Source organism: Homo sapiens, chromosome Y (assembly GCF_000001405.40).
Source record: "Homo sapiens chromosome Y, GRCh38.p14 Primary Assembly".
NCBI classification, from domain to species: Eukaryota; Metazoa; Chordata; class Mammalia; order Primates; family Hominidae; genus Homo; species Homo sapiens.
In genome coordinates this window covers 3,556,817-3,584,264 of record NC_000024.10, presented here as the reverse complement: position 1 = coordinate 3,584,264, position 27,448 = coordinate 3,556,817, and the positions used below count along the sequence as shown (strand labels likewise).

Below are 27,448 nucleotides of genomic sequence, written 5' to 3'. Positions count from 1 at the left end.
CAGGCCTTAGCTGCCTCCCGGCGGGGCAGGGCTCAGGACACGTAGCCTGCCATGCCTGAGGCTCCCCGCCCCCACCCGCCCCGTGGGCTCCTGTGCCGCCCAAGCCTCCCCGGTGAGCGCCGCCCCCTGCTCCACGGTGCCTAGTCCCATCGACCACCCAAGGGCTGAGGAGTGCAGGCACATGGCACGGGACTGGCAGGCAGCTCCACCTGCAGCCCTGGTGTGGGATCCACTGGGTGAAGCCAGCTGGGCTCCTGAGTCTGGTGGTGAGGTGGAGAACCTTTATGTCTAGCTCAGGGATTGTAAATACACCAATCAGCACCCTGTGTCTAGTTCAGGGTTTGTGAGTGCACCAATCAGCACCCTGTGTCTAGCTCAGGGTTTGTGAATGCACCAATCAACACTGTATCTAGCTACTCTGGTGGGGACTTGGAGCACCTTTGTGTGGACACTCGGTATCTAGCTAATCTGGTGGGGATGTGGAGAACCTTTGCGTCTAGCTCTGGGATTGTAAACGCACCAATCAGCGCCCTGTCAAAACAGACCACTCAGCTCTACCAATCAGCAGGATGTGGGTGGGACCAGATAAGAGAATAAAAGCAGGCTGCCCGAGCCAGCAGTGGCAACCTGCTCGGGTCCCCTTCCACGCTGTGGAAGCTTTGTTCTTTCGCTCTTTGCAATAAATTCTGCTGCTGCTCACTCTTTGGGTCCACACTGCCTTTATGAGCCATAACACGGCAAAGGTCTGCAGTTTCACTCCTGAGGCGGCGAGACCATGAACGCACCAGAAGGAAGAAATTCCGAACACATCCGAACAACAGGAGGAACAAACTCCAGACGCGCCACCTTAAGAGCTGTAACACTCACCACGAGGGTCCACGGCTTCATTCTTGAAGTCAGTGAGACCAAGAACCCACCAATTCCGGACACAATCCTACATCTTTTGACTGTATATTTCCGTCATTCCAAATAGATTAATAAAAATGTATCTTTCTTAAGAAAAAAACCAAACACCGCATGTTTTCACTCATAAGTGGGAGTTGAACAATGACAACACAGGGACACACGCAGGGGAACATCACACACTGGGGACTGTCAGGGGGTCGGGGACAAGACAAATATCTAATGCACGTGGGGCTTAAAACCTAGATGATGGGTTGATAGGTGCAGCAAACCACCATGGCACATGTATACCTATGTAACAAACCTGCACATTCTGCAATGTATACCTATATAACAAACGTGCATATTCTGCACATGTGTCCAAGAACTTAAAGCAAAATTTAAAAAGAAACTTACAGAAGAAAACACAGGAAAATATCTTCATTATACCTAGGCAATGACAGATTTCTTAAATAAGGCACAAAGAGCACAACTCATAAAGGAAAACTAACAAATTTGCATATAATAACATTTGAAATTTTGTATGACAAAAGACACCATCAATAAACTAAAAAGAGATGCACAAATTGGAAGAATTTAGCAATTCATATAGCAAAATAATTGTAATACAATTTATGAAGAACTGCCACTGGATAAGTAAGGCAAAGCAGAAAGGAAAAATTAAGCAATTGATTTCAACAGAAGAGGAAAAAATGAGTGGCAAAAGAAAAATATGTAAAGGTGTTCAATTTTGCTATTAATCAGACAAAGGCAAATGAATAATGCTAGGCTGTTTTATAGCTATTGGCTTGAGAAAAATTGAAAATTGATATTATGTATTGGTAAAAGTGTAGAGGAATAGAAATTCTTGTACACTTCTGGAAATATAAATGACTCCCAATACTTTGGAAGAAAAAAAAAAAAGGAAAAAGAAAAAATCCTAACCAAGATATTCTCAATGCTATCTTCACCCTTTCACTTCCACAAGACCATTGTTTCAGAAACTCTTTATCAGGTTTTACATAGTTCTCAAACTCAAATAACATGGAATTGGTGGTTATGTTTTCCAAACTTAGTTTCTTTAGAAAATTATCGCCTTTTCTCTCCACAAAGTGAAGTAGATTATAGCTTCCTAAATTTCACTCTTATAGAAAAAAACATGCATAAAGAAGCTACAACTTCAAAGTGGTTAAAGCCTGGTGGAATCACAAACACAGTTGGTCCTTTTATATGAAAAAAAGTACATTTATTTGGCAAAAATTTCAACAATAAAAATTCTGTTGTATATAGCAACTGCTTCTTCTCCATGTTTGTAGCACAAAACCGAGAACAGTTCTCCCCAATTTCTTTCGATATAATAGAGTTAAAGCTAGAACACAATTGTAGACCACAATTCACCATTACAAAGTGCACAACAGAAATGGACAAATACCACTGTAATCCCAACATATTCACCTTTGAGTAAGTTCTACAGCAGCACTGATTTTACAATGATTCCACAGTCATTTTACAATAATAATAAAGTTATTAATAAACAAGTACTACAATAGTCATTCTACAGGAACAGTCCAAGTGGCCTCAGCCTCTAGAAACAAGAGGAAACAAGCCTCTTATATTGTCTATAAGAGGCCAGACAATAAGAAACTTCCTTTTTCAGACTTCAGCACTAAAGTTGCAATTAACTTCATTTTCAACTGAGAAAGAGAAAAGCCTGAGACCTAAGACCAGTTAGAAAGCTACAGGACAAAGTAGTAAGGGTCCAGAAATGAGTGTATAGAAATACTCTAGGCTGAGTCTAGAAATCTTGCCACCCAGATAGCAAACGTCCTTTCCTTGAATAAGAGCCTTCTATGTATCCATATGCAGAAAATGCTTTTTGCCAGGCACTATAAACAAAATGGTTTGGGCGTTTCCTTGAGTGTTTACGGGCCCTCCTCAGTAAGGTTACGATGAATGTTTTTATACCACTTCCTTCTAAATGCCCCTGGATTCATGTATGCCTTAGGAACCTCAACTCCTTCCTATTTTAGTTTATTTCAGAAACAACAGTTTGGGAATGTGGGCCTGTTTCCTTTCTGGTAACATGGAAACTTATAATATGCAAAGTAAAAACTCATGACTATTGTTTGTTAAGATGCCTAAATAAGATACGGCATCTTATATTTAAAATTGCCAATAATTAGATAACAATATAAAAAATGGCCCTAGAAGCAGACAAATCATGATCTATTTCACATTAGAGCAGAATCAGAATCAGGCTAGAGTCCAATTTATAGCCCTAGATTCCTCAGGTTTTAGCTCCCTAAAAGCAGAGAAGTAAAATTACAGCTCTCTGGGGTAGTATCTTTCTGTTCGTATCCTAGTGAAAATCTGCCTGTACTTGTGAAAAAGCTGCCTTTATAAGACAATAGGATTATTTTCATGCGGGACCGGTCTGAAGCTTTTTACATTCCTACCCCACTCCCTACCAAACCAAGAATTTTAAAAGGAAAAATACATAAATGTATTAAAAAGATAAAATAATAGAATACCTGGATCTACTTCACTTTTTGCTGACATGTTATATATTGATTCATTTTGTTTCTTTCTAAATTATCTTCCTTTGGTTTCTTCCAGGGAATTTTTTTGTCAGTTTTTTTCTATTTTTTGTTATGTTTTTACTTTTATAATTAAAATCAATAAAAAGTATTCTCTAAAACCAACTATCTAACCAACAGCCAATAAGAGAAAATTAACATTTGGAATTTTCATACCTTTATGCAGACTTTTCACTGCTCAAAGCAAGAAGAGTTCACCTTTATGCAAAAAAATGTTCATGAATTTACTGTACTTTGGCTCTCATGGTCAACTCCCTGCAAAGAATAACTACTTCTTCAAAATTGGCCAAAACTGTACAAAAAGGAATATAAGAATTGAAAGCTTCACAAAACTCCAACAATAAAATGAGGGATGTTATAGCCATTTTTATAGAGGCTTTCTTTTCTATCACTCATACTAATGAACAGAGATTACCGAGAGAGAGGGAGAAAGAGGGGTGACTTATTATATGTAGCAACCCTGGGATTAAGAAAGTTGGCTAGAAAGCCAAAAACATTTATCTCTGAAATCTCAGCTTGATGTTTAATCTCAGATGTACTAGTCTGATGGTCTAAAGAGTTCAAATCCAGGAGGAAGGAGAGTTAAGAAATCTTTGCTGCAGTGTTCATTATGATGGCACCTTAGTGTCTTTCACCTGGAAACACTGAAATATCTGACAGAATTTAGTCCCAATAATTAAGATTGGTACTCATAAAACCAGTAGAAAGAAAGATGCCTCTATAAAAGATAAGCATACAAATAAGTTGGGGTGAACATAAACAGGTTTACCACAGTACACAAGGGACTGACTACTTGGGTTTTTGGAACATCATCAATCATGGATTAGGCTCTTGCTTCTTCTCTAGCTCCAGCTCGGCAGCCGTTTGTACTGCTGCATCGACTAGCAGCAGGAAGCTGCTGAAGTCGGCGTACTCCTCTGGAGACACAAGTTCTGGAGAAGACGGGGAAGTGATAGAAATCTTGACCTTTTTCTTTGGCTGGGCTATTCCGGTGAGCTTCTGGCTAGGGGCCGACTCCGGATCTGGTTGCTTCTCTCTTGACATCTGGCCCTTTGGCAAGGGCCACAGGGGCAGGCTTTGTACATTGTCTGGACCACTGGCCCTGACTTGGCCGGCACAGACGCCTCGGTGCTCTGCAGGTGGGTGGCATGGGCATCTTTGCCCGTTTTGTGGCCAATGATGGGGTCGTTTCTACGCTGTTGAAGCATATCCGGGAGAATGCGTCTGCGAGCATTGATAAACCAGTTAGAAATCCGCAACAAAGACAAATTGGTCTTCTCTGACAGCATTTGCTTCTCTTCTTCTGAAGGGTAGGCCTTAAACCGATGCTTATACATCCAGTCGCGGAGGATCTTAACGGACTCGGCTGGCAAGTTTCCCTTGCGCTTCTTCTTGTGCTCTGGTAAGGCAAGAACTCTGCCTGTATCTGCGTTATTTCTCGACATGATTGAGGTGTCTTGGGCTGGGCTTTGGGTCTTCGCCGGGCTGTCTTTTTCCACCGGGCTTTGGGTCTCAGCCGGGCCGTCTGCAGCGGCCTCCATATTCAAAGAGGCTTATCGTTACTATATTGAGAATCACAGACAACTGAGTTAGGACAAAGGTAGGTTTGGGAGAGCCACTTTAGAAAGCATGGGCAGGTCTGTAAGGGGAATTCTCACCTGTTGTTTCCGAGAAAGACAAACAGCTTTGCTAACAGAGTTGCTAACAGCCGAGCTGGTTATCTCAGTGACGTCACATCCTTTCTTCTCCACGCTGCCCCTCCCCTACACTTCCTGGAGTTCTTCTCCCATTGTTCTTGCGTATTTTCTGTAACTTCCAATGCACTTCATTTCACGCAGTTTATAGCTCTCCAGAGTTTTCTCTGCTGTTGTCACCAGTTTCCACTAACTGACGGACTCTATTTCTATTAGTGTAAATACGCCTATCACTTTCTTCCTATTTGATTTTACTCTGGTATTGTTCTTCCCGTTATTACTTATAATTGTCTCACTGGCTCATCTAGATATATCAGGAACAAATTGTTGATTAGCTACTAAACTCAATAAAAGAGTGTAACTACTGTACGTTGACTCCCCTCTTCCATTCTTCCATGTTCAAAGCAGATATTAATAATAATTTTGAACTAGACTTTTGCTTTTGATGCCTTGCTGCTTAAATTTTTCTTCTCTATGGCCTTAAAATCTTTGTCTTTGTCTTTTTTTTTTTTTTTTTTTTTTTTTGATATGGAGTCTCGCTCTGTCGCCCAGGCTGGAGTGCAGTGGCACAATGGCGGCATCTCGGCTCACTGCAACCTCCATCTCCCAGGTTCAAGCAATTCCCCTGCCTCAGCCTCCCGAGTAGCTGAGATTACAGGCATCTGCCACCACGCCCGGCTAATTTTTTATATTTTTTGTACAGGCGGGTTTCACCATATTAGCCAGGATGGTCTCGATCTCCTGACCTCATTATCTGCCCTCCTTGGCCTCGGCCTCCCAAAGTGCTGGGATTACAGGCGTGAGCCACCACGACCAGCCAAAATCTTTGTCTTTCGAATGACTTTGCTATTGCCTGTCAGTACCACTGAGGTCTTTGTGTCTCTTCCTTGGACTCTGATATCTAGTTGTGATGTTTCTCTTTAAACTTCAGTCAGAAATTCAGGGATCTTTTAGTAATGTGGAATAAGTGGAATAAGATAGAATTCAAGAAATAATGGCCATCACAGACAGTTTATTTAAATATATTTTTTAATTTTTTAAATTTTTTATTTTTTGAGATGAAGTTTCGCTCTGTCACCCAGGCTGGAGTGCAGTAGTGGCGCAATCTCGGCTCACTGCAACCTCAACCTCCCAGGTTCAAGTGATTCTCCTGCCTCAGCCTCCCAAGTAGCTGGGATTACAGACGTGCACCCCCACACCCGGCTAATTTTTGTATTTTTAGTAGAGACAGGGTTTCACCATGTTTGCCAGGTCTCGGACTCCTGACCTCCAGTGATCCACCCACCTCAGCCTCCCAAAGTGCTGGGATTACAGGTGTGAGCTACCGCAGCCGGCCAAATATTTCTTGATATTTCCAGCATGTGGAAATCACCCGATAAGTCAAATGAAAATAATTTGTAAATTTCAAATTTTCATTTCTAGTAGCTGAAAAATAAGGCTTGACTTTTTTCAAGAACACTGTGATTCACTTTGAAGACAATTACCACCAGCATCAACTCTGACTCCTTAATAATACTGTATGGTATTATTTATTTTTAATTTCATATATTTTGCAGAGTCCTAGCTATCGTCTGAAGCAGCATATATTATCCACAGCTTCCTTTTGCCCTTAAGAGTTCTTACTTGTCACTGGGCTGGATTTCAGAATGTTGTCTACTGATCCTTTGGCTGTTGGTAATCTTCCTTACTGGTACTGACTTTCATCACTTAAAATTTATTGTAAGGGAGACCTACTGAATAACACAATCAAATCTAATGAACAACTTAGTAAAGCTCCCAATAACCAATAATTGGGTATGTTGGGTACAATTGAAGGTCTCCTTTGGAATACTCTAGAAAAGAATGCTTCTATTTCCACTGGACTTTTGGGCTTTTGAAACACAGAAGATAAGATTTTCTATGCATAGTAAAAACTCAGTTCCTGCAACTGTTTCTCACCAACACATTTATGCCTCATGCTCGCTGAAAGTATTTTTGTGCGTCAGCATGACTTGTAGTAACTTACCCTCCCTCACTTATTACTCCTATATGTTCTTTCTATGTATGGGGATTCAGGCCTCTGCTCAAGGATTGACGTAGAATTGCACATATTTAACGAATTGCAGATTTCTTCTCACTGATATGATCTGGGTTCTTGATTTTTAATGTCTACTTTATGCATCCCCTCTAAAAAGAATATTATGATGGCTCAAAATTATTCCCAGGAGATTTGGAGACTGTCTTTTCCTCTATCAACAGATACAGGAACATGGAGAAATCTGGAAAGTAGGTGAGAAATTGGAAATGAATCCCATCGCTTTTGACACAAAAAATGTGACTTCCTTTTATGATGAAATAATTGAAATGCTGAATAGAAACTGTATTACCTTTCTTCCAGTTTTTGGTGATACAAAATTATGAATTATGGGTATCTCTGAGAGAAAGATAGATTGCTTCCACCTACTTCTTTAAAACTTGTAAGAAGATAAAATGATCTAAATAGTGTCTATCAGTTTTTATCTTCCTTTATTGTTTCTTTTTATGTGAAGTACACAGATCTCATTGTAAACAGTTTGTCTATTTATAAGCATTGATTTATTTACTTGTGACTCTGAAAAGTGCCTTCTCATGACTGTATTAGGGATGCCAATGGCATTACACTATAATAGACACTTTATTTCTCAAATTATAAAAGACCATAATGAGACTGAGGTCCTTAATATTTTATTGCGTATTGTTTCCAGTAATATAATTTTCATATAAGTATTCTACAAACCAAATTATGTTGATCTACTTGTAGAGTTTTAGAGAAAGCTTAATTTTTGGCATCGAAGAAATGGGAGACTATAAAACCAAATTAAAAAACAAAAACAAGGCCAGGCGTGGTGGCTTACGCCTGTAATCCCAACACTTTCGGAGGCCGAGGCGGGTGGATCACGAGGTAAGGAGTTCGAGACCAGCCTGGCCAGCATAGTGAAACCCCTGTCTCTGCTAAAAATACAAAAAATTCGCCGGGGTTGATGGCGGGTGCCTGTAATCTCAGCTCCTCGGGAGGCCGAGGCAGGAGAATCACTTGAACCCAGGAAGCAGAGGTTGCAGTGAGCCAAGATTGTGCCATTGCACCCAGCCTGGGCGACAGTGCAAGACTCCATTTCAAAAAAACAAACAAGCAAACAAACAAAAAAACAAAAACAAAAATCAAAGCACAGTGAACTAAGCAAAAATTGGTGATGTGGTAACTGAATTTCACCAACTCTAAAAATAAAGAATGTCCCGGGAGGCAGAGCTTGCACTGAGCTGAGATCACGCCACTGCACTCCAGCCTGGGTGACAGAGCAAGACTCCGTCTCAAATAATAATAATAATAATAATAATAATAATAATAATAAAGAATGTTGTCAAGGACATACTGCTTTTTCATATCGTAAAGTATCTGGATAATTCCTGCCAGGTATTTTACACTTCGAAATGAATTGAAGAAAATGTCAGGAAACCAGCACTAAACCCCTGTTGACAGAAATGGTGGCATGTTAAGAGTAAGAAGTGTAGGAAGTTCTAGCAGATTCAACTAATATACCTTAATTTGGAGGGATGAAAGTTGGAAGTATGGCCTGACTGTAAGAGATACCATAGAATTATCCCCCAATAAGACTTATGGATCTTACAGCTTATTCTATTCATTTTCCTCAACTTAAGGAGCAAATGATTCTCTTTGTAAAAGATGTAAAGAAAATGCTTTCCAGATCTTTATAAATCTGGTATGACTCGGATGTGAAAATCTCACAAAGCATGACAGAAATATCTGTGGCAGATTCACTTATAACATCATAAATTATTACTGGATAGAATGTACATTCATGTAAAATATAAAACACATGAAAAAATGGAAACATGTAAAATGCAGCATGATCTAACATTAGAATATATATTTTGAGAATTAATCACATTCATGGATAAAAGAAAAAATGTCATCTTGTTGGAGTTTGAGTAACTATTTTAATGAATTTAAAATAAATTTCTGGGCCGGTCACGGTGTCTCATGCCTATAATCCCAGCACTTTGGGAGGCCGAGACAGGTGGATCACCTGAGGTCAGGAGTTTGAGACTAGCCTGGCCAACATGACAAAACCGCATCTCTACTAAAGAATACAAAATTAGTGAGGCGTGGTGACGTGCACCTGTAATCCCTACTTGGGAGTCTGAGGCAGGGAGAATTGCTTGAAGCCCAGGAGGTGGAGGTTGCAGTGAGCCAAGTTGGTGCCACTGCACTACATCCAGCCAGGGTGAGAGAGCGAGACTCCATCTGAAAAACAAACAAACAAACAAATAAATGAATTTATGATAAACATATTTTAATGAAATAAGGATAAAAGGATCCTTCCTTTGTATAACATAGATTAATAAAAAGTTAAAATCTCCAATATACAGCCTTATGGTTAACAATAAAACAAAAATGATTCTTTCAATTTCATAAGTAAGGCAAAGATGTTTATTTTCACTACTATAAAATTGCTTAAAAATTTGATCCAATAGAATTAATCAAACAAAAATAAATACAATAAATATACTAAAAGGAGGAAAAATATTATTATTTGTTGATAGCATGATTTGCCACTTAGGAAATACCTAAAAATCAATTGAGAAACCATTATAAATAATAAGAATTATGTAAGGTGGTCAGTTACAAACAAATAAAAGATAAACATTAACATGTATCAATAATCGTAATTTAGAAAATATATTGGGAAAATTACCTAGTTCATAATCGTATCAAGAATAAAGATACAAAAAGATATAGGCCTAAAATTAGAAATTATTGTCTACACCCTATGCAAATAAAAGTAGAAAATTTTATTTAATAACATAAAATGGATGTTAAAAGTTAAAATACATTCTATTTTACCCTAGGAAATTTCACTATTTTAATAAATTTAATTCTCTTTAAATTTACTTTAATTACATATTCCTATCAAAATCACAAGTGATTTCCCATATGTTTTTGTGGCTTGATAGCTCATTTCTTTTTAGCCCTGAATAATATTCCATTATATGGCTATATCACAGTTTATCTATCCACCTACTGAAGGACATCTTGATTGCTTTCAAGTTTAGGGACTTATGAACAAACATCCATGTGCAGGTTATTGTGTGGGCATACATTTTCAACTCATTTGGAGAAATTTCAGAGATTGCAATTGCTGGATTATATGGTGGTAAGAACATGTTTAGTTCTATAAGAGACTGCCAAACTGTCTTCTAAAATGGCTGTACTATTTTTCATTCTCACCAACAATGAATGAGAATTCCTGTTGTTTCACATTCTCACCAGCTTTTGATGTCCATATTGTTGATTTTAGTCATTCTACTAGATGTGTAGTAGTATCTCATTGATTTATATTGCAATTCCCTAGTGACTTAGGCATCTTGTTTTTATACTTATATATAAAATCAGTATATCTTCTTTGGTGAGGTGTCTGTTTAGATCTTTTGACGATTTTTAATCAGATTGGTTTCCTTGGTTGAATTTCAAGAGTTTTTCTGCATATTTTGAATACCAGTTCATTACTAAGTATATGTTTTTTAATATTTTCTGCTGGTATGTGCCTTGTTTCTTAATTTTCTTAACAGTGTTTTTCACAGAACAAAATGTTTTAATTTTAATTAAATTCAACTTATAAATTCTTTTTTTTGTAGATTGTACATATGATGTTGAACTTAAAATGACATCACCAAAACTGAGGCCATCTAAATTTTCTCTGTTATTTTCTAAGTGTTTCATAATTTTGCACTTTACATTTAGTTCTATGATCCATTTTAGGTTAATTTTTGTAAAAGGTGTAACTACTGTGTATTTACCTTAAACTAATCTGTATCTTTATAATATACATCTCTTGTACAATTCCTTGTATTGGTCTTGCCCTTTTGTACAATCTGGAAATTGCTTCTATTTAATTGGAGCTATTAATCTTCTTATATTTAATATAATAATAATAGTTATATTTGGTCTACCACTTTAATATTTATCTTTTTACAACATATTTTTGTTTCTCTGTTTTCCCTTATTGTCTTCTTTTTAGTTCATTAAATATTTGTTAGCATTTAATATTAACATCTATTAGCTTTCTGAAATACCTATTACAATTACATTTTAGAGGTATCTCTAGTGATAGCAATATATATTTTTAAGTTTTTACAGTCTCCATAGATTTCATATTCTACCACTTTGCAAAAAATATAAGAACATTGTGCTTGGATATGTTCATTCTCTATACCTCTATCTTCTATTTTATAGTTTTCATGTGTATTATATTGAAATATGTTCAAAACTATATTAAAATGTTATAACTTTTGTTTAAATCAGTTACGTGTCTATTTAAGTAATTAAGAGGAAATATAGTCTGTTAGTTTCCTGACATCTTCAGAATTTTCTGTGTTTTCTGTTCATAACTAAAAGTCTGATTTACATCTGGAATAATTACTCTTCAGCCAGAAAAACTTTCTGTAGCAGTTATTCTCAGGTATTTATAGAGATGACAGATTTTCTTAGTATTTAGTTTTTATTTTCTGAGTATGTCTTCACTTCACTTCCATTATTAAAAGATATTTTTGCTAGATATAGAATCAGATTTTCAGTTAATGGTTTTATTTATTGTTGAGCCCATTAAAAATCTCCCTCCACTGCCTTTCCATTTTCATTATTTCTGAATTATAGTGATAACTGATTCACATTTTTCATGGCCTTTTAAGGTCAGTTTTCAAATGTCTGAACATGATTTATTTTCTGTTTGTTGTCTCTTCTTCATGTTGTCTGAATTTCTTAACTCTACACATATATGAATTTTCTTAAAATGAAGATTTTGGTCTTTATTTCTTCAGATAGTATTTCTGTCCCATGCTGTCACTCCTCATTTTCTGATACCTTCATTTTATATATTTTAGACTTTTTCACACTTTACCAGAGATTATTGTAGATCTACTCATTTTTTAAAATATTTTTTCTCTATTTTTCTGATTGGATAATTTATATCAATCTATCTATTTTTTCTTTATTTTCCTGACTGGATAATTTATATCAATCTATCTTTAAGTGAATGTATGTTTCTTCTTTTATTTGTAATCTGACATTATATAGGAACCTAGATAGCTAGGTTCTGTGTTTGTTTACATATTGTAATTTTAATCTGAGCATGTCTGCTTTTAAAAGTCTCTACCTCCTTAAAATTGCCTATCAATTTATTCATTAAGCATATTTTCCCAAAAGTCTGTGAGTTACAGTAATTACAGCTGTTTTAAAGAACTGTCTGCTAATTTCAAACATCAACATTATGCCTGAGTCAATCTCCATTTGTTGTTTTTTTGTTTTTAACCTGAGCATGAAATATTTTTTCTGTTTCTTCATATGTCTAATAATTTTGGATTATATCTTAGACATCATAAAATATTGCAGAGATTCTTGAGTCTATTATATTCATTGAAACAATGGAGTTTTTTCATTTGTTGTAGTTTCAGCCCGAAATTAACTTGGCTGGGTATATTTTTTTTTAAATATTGACTGCCCTGCATGGAGAATCAGCTGAAATTAAAAATATATATGTCTTAGCCTTACCTGGTCTGTGTGGCATCTGACCTGACTTTGCATACTTCTTGGGTCAGCTAGAAATTTGGGCAATATTTATACATAAATTTTGGGACTCGTCTTCTCTGGAATTTTTCTCCAACATTTCCTCTTCAATTTACAGTTGCTGTGGCAGCCTAAACTCTACCACATGTGGATACCATATGTGGATAGTCGTGCAGACAAGACTGTGGAATTCCATGTAAATGGAGGTAACTTACGTGAAATGAACTGGAGCCTGTCTTCTTTTTCATAAGAAGCCTTTAAAATATCAGAAACTTACTGTTATATTAAGCTGTCGACTCCTTTGTGGTTTTATCATGCTTTTTGTTGTGCTCTAATGTTAGATTTAAAGAATATTTTAAATATTTTCTCCATAGTTTATAGTTATCTGAAGTAGTATTGCTCTGATAGGTACTTTTAAAGAGGGAATTCTGGATATTCTTTAAATATGCAGATATCTACTCAATATGCTTTATCAAGCTTGGATTGTTCTATCTTGGAAAATAGTAGTTATTAAATATAATACGTCACAATTTTACTAAAATTTGTAACAAAAGAATATTTTATCTCCATTGCTTATTTTCATATCATCATAAAGAATTTTGATTTGAATGTGACTTTAGAGAGAATCTGTGTGCGTATGAAATTTTTTAAAAAAGGCTCCGTAATGGAAACTAATTTTTCCAATCATGAAGAATATTTTGGTGTAAAACCTGGACTGAAACCCAAGCCTCATGATTACCATCAAATATACCCCACTTTGACTCAGTAGTTATTTGATTTAATGGCTGAGATTAAGAAAACGCTCTTTTTGTTTTTTTCTACTATAACAATCTTTGCTAGTATATTTTTAGAAGCAGGAAAATATCTGTAAATTTTTAGTTTAATCAGTAGTTTAAAATTATATATTAATATAAGTTTGAACTAAGGCTAGAGTTAATATAATTTTTGGCAAGTATGAATAAAATCTACATATTATTTTCATTTGAAGATTTTGAATAAGTGTAGATATTACAAGACACAAACAGTAAACTTAAATGTAGTACAAAAATATATGTTGTAATAGTAAATACATCAGTATGCATATTTTAATAATTGATATTATACTCTGAATAAAGAGTTGAACTTTTAAATAATAGTATTTTGCCTTTGGCTTTGAATATCACCTTTTACCTACAGGTGAAGCAATTATCTGGGGATGAATAAATGACCAACATGCAGAATATTAAAGAGGTCAATATAGTAAAAAAGCATAATTAATAATATATGAACATTAAATTTCCAGTATCATAGTCATATTATAAAGGTTACATTAAAAAGTTGAAAACATAGCGAGACATATGTAGATACTTATGACAAAAGGAAAATATCATTTTATTTTATGAACATCAGTTGTAAATTAAATGTACTACCTAGGGACAGCAAATAACTTTTACCCAGTGTGCTATACCTCTTTTATTTTTGCATAGTTGTGCTTTGTAACTCACTCTATTAAACTTTTCATTGCTTTCTCATTGTTTGGGATTGTGGAGAGGAAATGAAAAAATCTTCTTTTGCCATTTCGGAAGGCATGACATTCACAGGTTGTTATGCCAGCTTCCTAAAATAGCTATTTTGGTTAGGCATTTAAACTATTTACTGTATTGTGGTGCCAAGAATAATGTCTCAACATTATTGTACTCATATCTTTTAAACTAAGTGTAACAGAAGTGTAAGGTGCTATATCTTATTTAAAACTTATACCAATTAATCAGAAAATCTAATTTCTTTCAAGGCAAAATTTATATCAGTGTTTCCATTCCATAGAACTCATGGAATTAGTTGGCTTTCAAAACTTTTTTCCCCCATATATTGGAAAAGTTGAGAAAATTTAAAACTAATTTTATATAACTTCCCAAAATCAACATGCATTTTCAAATCTATTTAGTTCATTGCATTTTCTCTATCTTTAGTGTACTTTAATTGGTAGTGAAACCTGAAAAACTACTAACAAAAAATTGTATATACATATACTTGTTCCTTCAGTGAGCAAGATGACAGACTGGCTTATTGAACAGTCTTCTTGTTTTCTAGTTCAGCAGACGATTTCTAGGGTGTATTCTCCTTTTGAAGAAGTGTGGTAGTTAGAAGAAGAGGAAATTGGTTAACAGAATATTGAAAAGTTAGTTTTATTTTATGGAAAATTCTCATTAAAACAGAGCAAATATGAAAAATTAGGTATATAAGCAGACAGATTTTAGTCACAGTTCTGAATTCCTGTTCTATCCCCTCCCTCACCTTTTGTTTCACCTGTGTGACAAATATATTCTTTTTTTCTCTTATTTGCTTCTCATTTCATCTGATTATTTTCATCTCTCCTTAAAACATTTTAAATTTTTTGTGTTCTATTTTAATAGTCTATATTCTGGGTTTTTTTTTAAAGAAATGATTTGTCTCCAGTCCAGTCATTATCCAGTGTCTCACATTAAAGATTTTTGACTTCTTGATACTATTCCTCTACTAGGCTCCTAATGTACCACTGACTCTATGTTCAATTCAAAATTACAGTATTCATCTTATCATGCAGTCTGAGAAAATAGGGCCAGGGTTTATCTTATCTTGTAGCATTGGCCCAGCAAACGGAATGAAGAAAATTTGGTAGTGGTGTGAAAGGATTCTGTGCTCTAAGTAAGTGCATTTGTTGTAACTTTACCATTGTGGAATAGGGATTATTGAGACCTGAAGGATAACTAATTATTTAAAAATTAATGACTTTTCATAAACAAAACATGAACATATAGGTAGAGAGAAATCACAAACTTAGCCATATTGCGTCAACATTTATCTATTGAATTTTACTTTGACTCAAAGATGAGTCAATTTGGAAACAAAAGTGAGATTTATAATAGCATGGACTATTGTGAATTTTATTTAACTTTTTATTTTGAGCTAATTGTAGATGAATATGCCATTGTAAGAAATAATACAAAGAAATCCTGCCTGCCCTCACCCAGTATTCCCCAGTAGTTACGCCTTGCATAACTGGAAACAATAACACAGCCAGGATATTGACATTGATAAGATTCATTGACATGGGCTGGACTTGGTGGCTCACGCCTGTAATCCCAGCACTTTGGGAGGCCAAGGAGGGCGAATCACGAGGTCAGGAGATCGAGACCATCCTGGCTAAGACGGTGAAACCCCGTCTCTACTAAAAATACAAAAAATTAGCCGGGCGAGGTGGCGGGCGCCTGTAGTCCCAGCTACTCGGGAGGCTGAGGCAGGAGAATGGCGTGAACCCGGGCGGCGGAGCTTGCTGTGAGCCGAGATCACACCACCGCCCTCCAGCCTGGGAGACAGACTGCATCTCAAAAAAAAAAAAAAAGATTCATTGACATTGACTCATTTTTGTGTGGTATGTCTACCTAATTTTATGCAGTTTTATTACCTGTTCAGATTTCTGTGACCACCACAATAATCAAAATATGGAAGAGATCCATTAAAAGGATCCCTCCTGCTGCCATTATAGCAAGTCACCTCATCCTTCCCTAACTTCTGGCACATGCTAAGCTGTTTTCATTTTTAATATTTTGTCATTTTAAGAATGTTACGTAATATTTTATAGATGGAATAATTGAGTATATAACTGTTTTAGATTGGCATTTTTTTCATTCAGTATAATTACCTTTAATGTAATACTAGTTGTTGAGTGTCTTGACAGGTCCTTTTTATTGCTGAGAAATATTCCATAGTATATGTATGCTAACTGCAGCACAACAATTCATCTAATGAATTGCATTTTGGTTATTTACAATTTTTATATTACGAATAAAGCTGTTATGAACATTTATGTAAGGAATTTTTATGAAATCAAACAAATTCTGGGATAGATATTCAAGTATAGAATTCCTCGGTTTTACAGAAGGCACATGTTTGCCTTTCCATAAAGTTGCCAAAATTTTCGGAATGGTTCTATCATCTTACATTGCTTGAAGCAATGTATTAGTATTTTGTTTTCTCCACATTGTCACCATTTGGTATTGTCACTACTTTTAATCACTCTGATAAGTGTGCTGTGATATTTTAATATGGTTGTTATTTGCATTTCCCTAATGACTAATGATGAATACAATTTGATGTACTATATGCCATGTGGATATCCTCTTGAGTAAACTGTCTGTTTATGCCTTTTGCCCTATTATAATTGGATTCTTTGGCTCTTTTCTGTTGAGTTTAGAGTGTTAAAAAAAAAAAGTATATCCTAATACTAGCATTTGCTGGACAGGTGGTTTCAAAATATTTTATTAGACTCAACATATTGTATTTCTTAAAGACTTTATTTTTTAGAAAAGTTTTAAATTAAAAACATTAGCAGCTACTTCAGAGTTCCTTCATACCCTACCCCCAGATCCACATTTCCCCCTATTATAAACACTTTGCATGAATGTGGCACATTTTCAACAAGTTATGAAGTAATATTGATGCATTAATATTAACTAAAGCCCAGAGTTTACGTTAAGGCTCACATTTTGCGTTGTATAGTTCTCTGGGTTTTGGGTTTTGTAAATGAATAATGCCATGTATCTAGCAATACAGTGCCATAGACAACACTTTCACTGCCTTGAAAATCCTCTGTGCTTTACCTATTCATATTCCACTACAATATGCATTCAAGGTTTTTCTATATCTTTTCATGGCTTGCTTGCTCATTTCTTTTTATCACTAAATAATATTCTGTTGTATGAATGTATGATTGTTCATCCATTTATCTTGGTTACTTCTGTTTTAGGGCAATTACACTTAAAGCTGCTATAAGATTTTATATGCAGATTTTTCTGTTGACATAAATTTTAATTGGATAAATACGTAGGTGTGCAATTGCTGGACCATATAATGAGACAATTTTTATCTTTGTAACATACCGGCAAATTGTCTTTCAAAGTGCCTACAACATTATGCATTGCTATCAGCAAAAAATGAAAGTTCATGTTACTCCCCATTCTGACTAGCATTTGGTATTGTCAGTCTTTTGGATTTTAGCTATCTTAATAGGTATTTAAGAGTAGTTCATTATTGTTTATTTTATTATTCCCTAATGACATATGAAACTGCACATCTTTTCATATGATTATTTGCCATCTCTATATTTTTTGATGAGGCATCTATTCGAATGTTTTGCCTATTTTTAATTGGGTTGTTTGTTTTTTTATTATTGATTTTTAAGAGTTCTTTGTATAATTCGAATATGTTTTATTTTTAATCACATAAGTGCTTTGCAAATATTTTTAAAATGTCTATAGACTTGTCTTTTCATTCTTTTAACAGTATCTTTCACAGAGTAGAAGTTTTTTGTTGTAATGATGTGCAACTTAATTTTTTCTTCCATGGATAGTACTTTTGGTGTTGTATCTAAAAAGTCATCGTAACCACAAAACACAAGGTTACCTAGAGTTTCTCTTATGATTTTTGAAACAACATTTTATAGTTTTCTATTTCATATTTAGGTCTATAATCCATTTAGTGGTGTGTGTGCATGTGTATGTGTGAAAGGTCTAAGGACTGTGTCTAGACATTTTTTTGGCATATAATGTCTACTTGTTCCAACACCATTTGTAGAAAAAGTTATCCTTTCTCCATTGGATTGTCTTTGCTTTTTACTGTCCAAGATCAGTTGACCATAGTTTTTCAGGTATATTTCTGGGCTTTCTATACTGTTTCATTGATCAATTTGTTCACTTTTTAAATCAATACCACACTGTCTTTGTTTCTTATCATTATAATATTTCTTAAAGTAGTGTAGTATCAGTTCTCTGATTTTTTTTTCTTTTTCATTCTTTTGCTGTCTATTCTGGCACTTTTGCCTTTCCATATAAACTTTAGAATTAATTTGTTGATGTCAACAAAACAGCTTTCTGAGATTGTGATTGGTATTGTATTAGAATTATGTTGGAGAAATTGGCATCTTAACAATATTGAGTCTTCCTATTGATGAACATGGATTCTCACTCTTTTTATTTCTTATTTAATTTCTTTCAACAGAGTTTTGTAGTTTTCTTCATATAAATCCTGTATATATTTTGTTAGATTTATACTTATTCATTTAATATTTTTGGTTATAACATAAATGGCATTTTGTTTTTAATTTCACATTTCATTTGTAGATTTCTGGCATAAAAAATGCTATTGATTTTTTAACTAACCTTGTATTCTACAAACTTGCCATAATCCTGTATTAAGTTCCCTGCCTCAATTTTTAAAAATCATGTCTTTGGAGTTTTCTAAATAGACAATCATGTCATTGAAGAAAGACATCTAGGGTCACTTGTGGGTTTTTCCCCTAAAATTTAGTATTTTCACCCATCTTTATTTTATTTCATTTTTTAAAATGTGAAACCTTAACATAGCTTCAAAACACAAAACTATGCATAAAGCTACACTCAGAAGCTACACATTGTACCCGGTGCTCCTTTATAGCCTATAGGTAAATAATTTGATTTGTTCTTGCCTTATTCTTTGTTTTTCTTCTTTAAAAAGCAGATATAACTTTGTAATGTTTTTAAATTATATAGGTATATATATATATATATATAAGGTATATATATATATAGGTATATATACCCATATATAGGTGTGTATATATAGGTATATATACCATATATATATACCATATATGTATATATATGATATATATATATATGTACACACACAAACCTTAATTTGTATATTTCTTTGTGCTTTTTTTCATTTAACTGCAATCTTGGAAATAACTCCATATTGGTTATAGAGATTGTCCTCACTTTCTCTATCAGGTTGCTATAGTTCTTCCTGGGGTGTATGGTTTATGTAACATAATTCGTTCAAACTATTTTCCATATTTTGCCATATAGATTGTTCTTGTTATTTAAAAATTACAACTGTTGATACAATGAACAAAGTTGTGCATATGCATGGAGAGAACTTAAGGATAAATTCCTAGAATTGAGATACAGTATAGTTTATTAATATAATGCTATAGTATAGTTTTATTAGAATTTATCAAATCTCTTTCTACAGTGATTGTATAATATTGTGTTTCCAATGGCTCTATATGATTGTGCTGCTTTCCCGACATTCTTACCAACTAAACATGTTACCAATGTTTTGAATATTGGCAATTTTTGAGAGGTATAGAATGGTATCTCAAAGTAGCTATCACAGATATTTCCCTTATGAATTCATTTATATAGCTTTATATCATGTATTTGGTATTTTCTTTACATTTTGGATTATCTTATTTTATACTTTCCTATTTTGTATTTTATTTTGTTATTTTCTCCAATATGAAAATAGTTAACCTGGAATATAGATTTGCTTTTAAGTTATTATTTTTTGGTGAAAAATTCAAAATTTGTTTACTATGATTTTAGCCTTAAATAAATGTATTAATACATAGTAAAGTTTATCACTCAAAACATAGGTTTTGAGTTATAGTTAGAAAGATTTTTGCACATCAAAGATTATAAGATTTTACTCATCCTTTCTTCTAATTTGTACACGGTATCTTTCTTTATTTGGTTATTTTCTGCTAAATTTATATCTCCAAATAATTTGTACTTGATTGTTGTGTGGTATGAGATATAGACATTGTTTTTTTCTCAAAATGACTATCCAATTATCTCAATGTAATTTATATGTCCCTTTTAGCTCTGGTGATATAAAATGCCAACATTATATTATAAATATAACTATATACTTGGGTCTACTTTTGTAATTCTTTATTAATTCATTTCTGCCTGTGTATTAGTGTGCCAGTATGTTATTGCATTACTATAGAGACGTTGTTTATGTTTAAATATCTAGTGGGGCTAGAGGCTCCATGCAAAGCTCTAGCTATTAATTTTTACACTGGCCATACACCTTCCTGTTCATTTTCCATTATGTGTAGTACAAAAACATGGGGGTTTGTTGTACAAATTATTTTGTTACCCAGGTATTAAGCCTAGTACCCATTAGTTATTTTTCCTGATCCTCTCCTTCCTCCCACCCTCCACCCTTTGATAGAACTCAACATGTGCTGTTTCCCTCTATGTGTCCATGTGTTACCATTATTTAGCTCTCACTTGTAAGTGAGAGCATGTGGTATTTGGTTTTCTGTTCCTGTGTTAGTTTTCTAAGGAAAATGGCCTCCAATTTCACCCATGTTCCTGCAAATAAGAAGATTTTATTCCTTTTTATGGCTGCATAGTATTTCATGGTGTACATGTACCACATTTTCTTTATATAGTCTACCATTGATGGGCATTGAGGTTGATTTTATGTATTTGCTATTGTGAATAGTGTTGCAATGAATGTATGCATGCATGTGTCTTTATAATAGCATGATTTATATTATTTTCGCTATATACCCAGTAATGGGATTGCTGGGCCAAATGATGTTTGTGTTTTTAGGTTTTTGAGGACTTGTCACACTCTCCCACAATGGTTGACATAATTTACAGCCCCATCAACAGTGTATAAGCCTTCGTTTTTCTCCACAATTTTGCTAACATCTTTCAATTTTTGACTTTTTAATAACAGCCATTCTTACTGGTATAAGATGGTATCTCATTGTGGTTTTGATTTATGTTTGTATAATGATCAGTGATGTTGAGCTTTTTTATATATGATTGTTGGCCACATGTATGTCTTCTTTCGAAAAGTGGCTGTTCATGTCCTTTGCCCACTTTTTAATGGGGTTGTTTTTTTACTTTTTGATTTGTTTAAGTTCATTATTGATGCTGGATATTAGACCTTTGTTGGATGCATAGTTTCCAAACATTGTCTCCCATTCTGTGGGTTTTCTGTTCACTCTTTTGATAGCTTCTTTTGCCATGCAGAAGGCTCTTTAGTTTAATTGAATCTCATTTGTCAATTTTTGCTTTCATTGCAATTTCTTTTGGTGTCTTTATCACGAAATACTTGCCCATTTCTATGTCCAGAACAGTATGGTCTAGGTTGTCTTCCAAGTTTTTTTATAGTTTTGGGTTATACATTTAAGTCTTTAATCCATCGTGAGTTAATTTTTGGATATGGTGTGAGGAAGAGGTCCAGTTTCTATCTTCTGCATATGACTAGTCAGTTATCCCAGCACCATTTACTGAGGAGAGAATCATTTCCCCATTGCTTATTTTTGTCAGATTTGTCAAAGATCAGATGGTTTTAGGTGTGTGGCTTTACTTTTGGGTTCTCTATTTTGTTCCATTGGTCTATGTGTCTGTTTCTGTACTAGTTCCATGCTGTTTTGGTTACTGTAGCCTTGTAACCAAACTACAGCCTTGTACTGCAGTTTGAAGTTCGGTATCATGGTGCCTCTGGCTTTGTTCTTTTGCTTATGTTTGCCTTGGCTATTTGGGCTCTTTTTCTGTCCCAGATGAATTTTAAAATAGTTTTTTCTATTTCTATGAAGAATATCAATGGTAGTTTATTGGGAGTAGCATTAAATCCAGAAAATGCTTTGGGCAGTTTAGTCACTTTAACAACATTGATTCTTCCTATCCATGAGCATGGAATGTTTATCCATTTGTTTGTGTCATCTCTGATTTCTTTGAGCAGTCTTTTGTTGTTCTTGTAGAGTCCTTCACCTCCATTCACCTCCATTGTTAGCTATGTTCATTGATATTTTATTTATCGTGTGTGGCAACTGTGAACGGGAAGATGTTCCTGATTTGGCTCTTGGCTTGACTGTTGTTGGTGTATAGGAATGTTTCTGATTTTTGCACACTGATTTTGTATCGTGAGAATTTGCTGAAGTTGTTTATCAGCTTAAGAAGCTTTTGGGCTAAGACTGCGGTTTTGTAGATATCGGATCATGTTGTCTGCAAATGGGTAGTTTGACTTCCTCTCTTCCTATTTGGATGCACTGTATTTCCTTCTCTTGCCTGATTGTCCTGGCCAGGACTTCCAATACTATCTTAAATAAGAGTGGTGAGAGAGGGCATCCTTGTCTTGTTCAGATTTTCAATAGGAATGATTCCAGCTTTTGCCCATTCAGTATGATATTGGCTGTGGGGTTGTCACAGGTGGCTATTATTATTTTGAGGTATGTTCCTTCACTACCCGGGTTATTGAGTTTTTAACATGAAGCAATATTGAATTTTACAGAAACCATTTTCTGCATCTATTGAGATCATTATGTTGTTTTAGTCTGTACTGAGGTTTATGTATGAATCACACTTAATGATTTGCACATGTTGAACCAACCTTGCATCTCAGAGATAAATCCTGCTTTATTGTGGTTGCTAAACTTTATGATGCACTTATGGATTCAGTTTGCCAGTATTTCGTTGTGTGTTTTTGTGTCAATGTTTCTCAGGAATATTAACCTAAAGTTTTCTTTTTTTATTGTCTCTCTGCCAGGTTTTGATATCAGGGTGATCTTGACCTCATAGCCTCAAAGAATGAGTTAGGTAGGAGTCTCTCCCCTTCAATTTTTTTGGAGTATTTTCACTAGGAATGGTACCAACTCTTGTTTGTACATCTGATATAATTCAGCTATGAATCTAACTGGTCCTAGGCTTTTTTGGCAGATAGCCTACTTATTACTGACTCAATTTCAGAGATCATTTTTGGTCTGTTCAGGGATTCAATGTTTTGCTGGTTCTGTCTTGGGAGGTTGTATGTCTAGGAAATTACCCATTTCTTCTAGATTTTCTAGCTTATGTGCATAAAGGTATTCATAACGTTCTCGGATGTTTATTTGCCTTTCTTTGTTGTCAGTGGTAATATCCCCCCTGTTGTTTCTGTTTCTTTGAATCATCTATATTTTGTTCTTTATTAGTCCAGCTAGTAGTCTACTGTATGTGTGTGTATATATATATATATATATATATATATATATATATATATATATATCACCTCTTGGATTCATTTTTTAAAATGGTTTTTCATGTCTCAATCTCCATCAGTTCAGCTCTGATTTTGGTTATTTCTTGTCTTCTGCTAGCTTTAAGAATGGTTTGCTCTTGGTTCTTTAGTTCTTTTAGTTGTGATGTTAGGTTGGTAAATTGAGATTTTTCTAACTTTTTGGTAAGGGCATTTAGTGCTATAAATTTTCCTCTTAACACTGCCTTAGCTGTGTCCCAGAGATTCTGGTATGTTGTATCTTTGTTTTCATTAGTTTCAAAGAACTTGATTTCAACCTTTATTTCATTATTCACCCAAAAGTCCTTCAGGAGCAGGTCATTCAATTTCCATGTAATTGTTTGGTTTTGAGTAAATTTCTTAATCTTGATTTCTAATTTGATTGTGCTGTGGTCCAAAAGTTTGTTATGATTTCAGTTATTTTGCATTTGCTGAGGAGTGTTTTAATCCTGATTATGTGATTGATTTTAGAGTATGTGTTATGTGGTGATGAGAAGAATGTGTATTCTAATGTTTTTCAGTGGATAGTTCTGTAGATGTCTATCAGGTCTATTTGATCCAGTGCTGAGTCCAAGTTTTGAACATCTTTGTTAATTTTCTGTCTTGATGTTCTAGTATTGTCAGTGGGGTGTTAAAGTCTCCCACTATTATTGTGTAACAGTCTCTCTTTGAAGGTCTCTAAGAATTTGTTTTATGAATCTGGCTGCATCTGCATTGCGTGCATATATATTTAGGATAGTTCAAACTTCTTGTTGAATTGAACCCTTACCATTATGCAATGCCTTTTTTGTCTTTTTTACTCTTTTTTGGTTTAAAGTCCCAGGTTTCTCCCTCTTCATCCCAACTTCTGTGTATTCCCTTCATCCAATCTCAGTGCCTTCTCTGAATATCTGTTAGAAGCACGTTAGTCATCTTAGTCCTAGTGGGAGCTGTTTCACTTGGCTGCATCTAGCTGACCATTTTGCTCTTGCCTCCTGTTTCTGATTATTTTTGTGTCTTTAGAAAGGTTTTGAGATTTTCTTTTTAAATGCTTTAAACATTTTTATGTTAATTTGTATGTTTTGTTGTTGCTGCTACTAGTATAAATGAGGTTTTCCCTTTTTTATATCTGTAAATAGCTTTTTTATGTGTATTAGGCTATTGGTACTTTAAAAAAATAACATTATCAAGTTACAATTACATACCATATAATTCGCCCATTTAAAGTGTGTAAAATTTAGTGATTTTTGGTAAATTTACAGTTATACAACTATATCAGGGTTCTTCAGAAAGAATCAGTAAGATATAGATATAGATATGGATGCAGATAAATAAGAGGAGATTTATTACAGCAATTGGCCCATATGGTTAGGCGGGGGCTAGAACTCCCATGATCTGCCATCTGCAAACTGGAGAACCAGGAAAGTCAGTGGTATTATTCGGTCCAGGTTTAAAGGCTTGAGAATTAGGCGGCCCATGGATGGTATAAACCCTAGTCTGAGTCTGAAATCCTGAGACGCAGGAGAACTGATGTCCGAGGGCAGAAGTTGAATGCCTCAGCTCAAGCAGAGTGAATTTATATTTCGTCTGTTGTTTTGTTCTATTCAGGCCCTCATCTGCTTGGATGATGCCCACATACATTGAACCAGGCCATCTACTTTAATTGATTCACCAATACGAGTGCTGATCTCTTCTGGGAACACGCTTACAGAAATAGTGTTTTACCAGCTATCTAGACGTGCCTTAGCCCAGTCAAGTTGACACATAAAATTAACCATCATAAATCCATCCCTTGTCAAAATGGCCCCTACTTGCATCTTCTTAAAGCATACTTAATCTCCAAATAAAACCAATAACAAGGTCAAAATTTTACCTGTCATGATACAGCTATCCTGTGTACAACTGAAAACACACTAATTCTTTCTCCAAAAGAACATATAAAACACTTCAGTTATGTTTAGTCTTTTCCTGATAACCTATAACTTAATACTATGATTCAAAATTAATAATTACTGATAAAAAGTCAATATATCATATGTTACATAAGGGAATAAGAAAGGAAAGAAAACAATGATATTTGCTTAATATATGTATATACACAAACAAATATATTCATAACAAAATAAGGAGTAAATACCCATGGCGTTTATAGTTCTTCTAACTGGTTACATGTTCACAGCTAATATTTCTAATTACCTTCTTTTTTTACCCATTCTGTATTCACTTTGCCTTCACTAAGCACCTCAGCTGATTATTGTTCTGATGGAGTTACCTAAGGCTTCATTCCTGAAATCTTTGGGCGATTCAGAGTCCTGCCTGGACTGGGTTGTTACAGTTTTCTGACTTTAATTACAGGTCATGGTAATAACAAGAGACAATTTAAGAAATCTATATTCCAAACATACTCTCCAGTACCTCCACTGTGGAATAATAGTCCACTTTTCTGTTGTCAGTCAAGATTGATTATGCCAGTCAACATCAAACCTTCCTTGCTTGCCTGTTACTTCAGAAGCATATGAGGAGCCCCTTGGAGCTGGGTGATAGTGTCAATGTGCAGTTCGATAGAAGCACTGTGTCTTCTGCTGGAAGCATTTCTCCCTCTGGAACTAAAAACTCTAGGACAGAAAAGCATAAAGTCACAGGAAACATAGGCGCAAATTTTTCTAGAGAGGAAATAGAGATTTTAGTGGAAGTGGTGGCACTCCCATTTCTACCTCTTGTTTCTTGAGCTCATAAATCCTGGTGTCTCAGTCAGTTTTGAGCTGTGATAACGGAATATCTGAGACTGGGTAATTTGTAATGAAGAGAAATTTATTGGCTCACATTTCTGAAGGCTCGAAAGTCTAATATCAAGGTGCCAAGATCTTATGAGGGACTTCTTGCTGTGTCATCACATGAAGGAATGTGAGAGGGTGAGAAAGAGGACAAGAGGGGGCTGAACTCTCCTTCTTATATCAGCAACAATCTCACCCATGAGGGTGAAATCATCATGGCTTAATCATCTTTTAAGGTTTCCATATCTTAATGCTCTTACAATAGCAATTAGAATTTCAACATGAGATTTGGAGAGGACAGCCATTCAAACCATAGCATTCTACACCTGATTTCCAAAACTCATGTCCTTCTCATATAAAAAAATGCATTTATTCTATTCAGTAGAAATGTCTTAAATCTTTCCAGCAGTAGATCAAAGTTCAGTCTTGAGTAGAATCTAAATCAGATATTGGTGAGACTGAAGACATGGTTTATCCTGAGCCAAATTTCCCTTCATTTGTAAGCCTGTGAAATCAAACAAGTTATCTACTTCTAAAATGCAATGGTGGGACAGGCATATGATAGACATTTCCATCCTAAAAGGGAGAAATAAACAAGAAAAAAAGGTGGTAACTGGTCACAAATAAGTTTTAAACCCAACAGTGCAAATAACATCAAATATTAAGGCTCCAGAATAATCTTTCTTGACCCCATATCCTGCCTTCTGGGCACACTTGGGTGAGGGTTCAGCCCCCATCATCTTGGGCACCCTCACCCTTATAGCTATGCTGAGCTCAGCCCATGCAGCAGTTCTTACAGGTTGATGTTTCATGCCTACAGCTCTTCCCGACCAGCATTGCACACTGGTTGCTTTCAGTTCTGGGGCCTTGGAAGTAATCCTACTCTATAGCTCCTGTAGGCATAGCCCTAATGGTAACTCTCTGGTGACACTACCCCTGCAGCAGGTATCTGTTTGGGTCCACAGGTTATCTGATACATTCATTAATACCTAGGTGGAGACCACCATGGCTCTATAGCTTGAGCAGTCTGTGACACTGCAGAGCTAGGATCACATGGACAATACCAAA

The 27,448-nt window shown here is 35.1% G+C and overlaps 1 protein-coding gene across 1 annotated transcript; it reads right to left on the bottom strand.

Annotated features, from left to right (window-relative positions):
• Positions 1–4,223: 4,223 nt before the first annotated feature.
• On the bottom strand, positions 4,224–5,198 carry TGIF2LY (TGFB induced factor homeobox 2 like Y-linked). The gene is made up of 2 exons (NM_139214.3): positions 5,138–5,198; positions 4,224–5,041 (listed from the first exon to the last, which is right to left on the bottom strand). Exon 2 carries the CDS (start codon positions 5,018–5,020, stop codon positions 4,463–4,465), a length of 558 nt encoding a protein of 185 aa, NP_631960.1. The 5' UTR covers positions 5,021–5,041; positions 5,138–5,198; the 3' UTR covers positions 4,224–4,462.
• Between the last annotated feature and the right edge of the window lie 22,250 nt (positions 5,199–27,448).

Excerpts from the sequence above, each read along its gene's own strand:
- TGIF2LY (NM_139214.3), bottom strand. The coding sequence starts at position 5,020 with ATGGAGGCCGCTGCAGACGGCCCGGCTGAGACCCAAAGCCCGGTGGAA.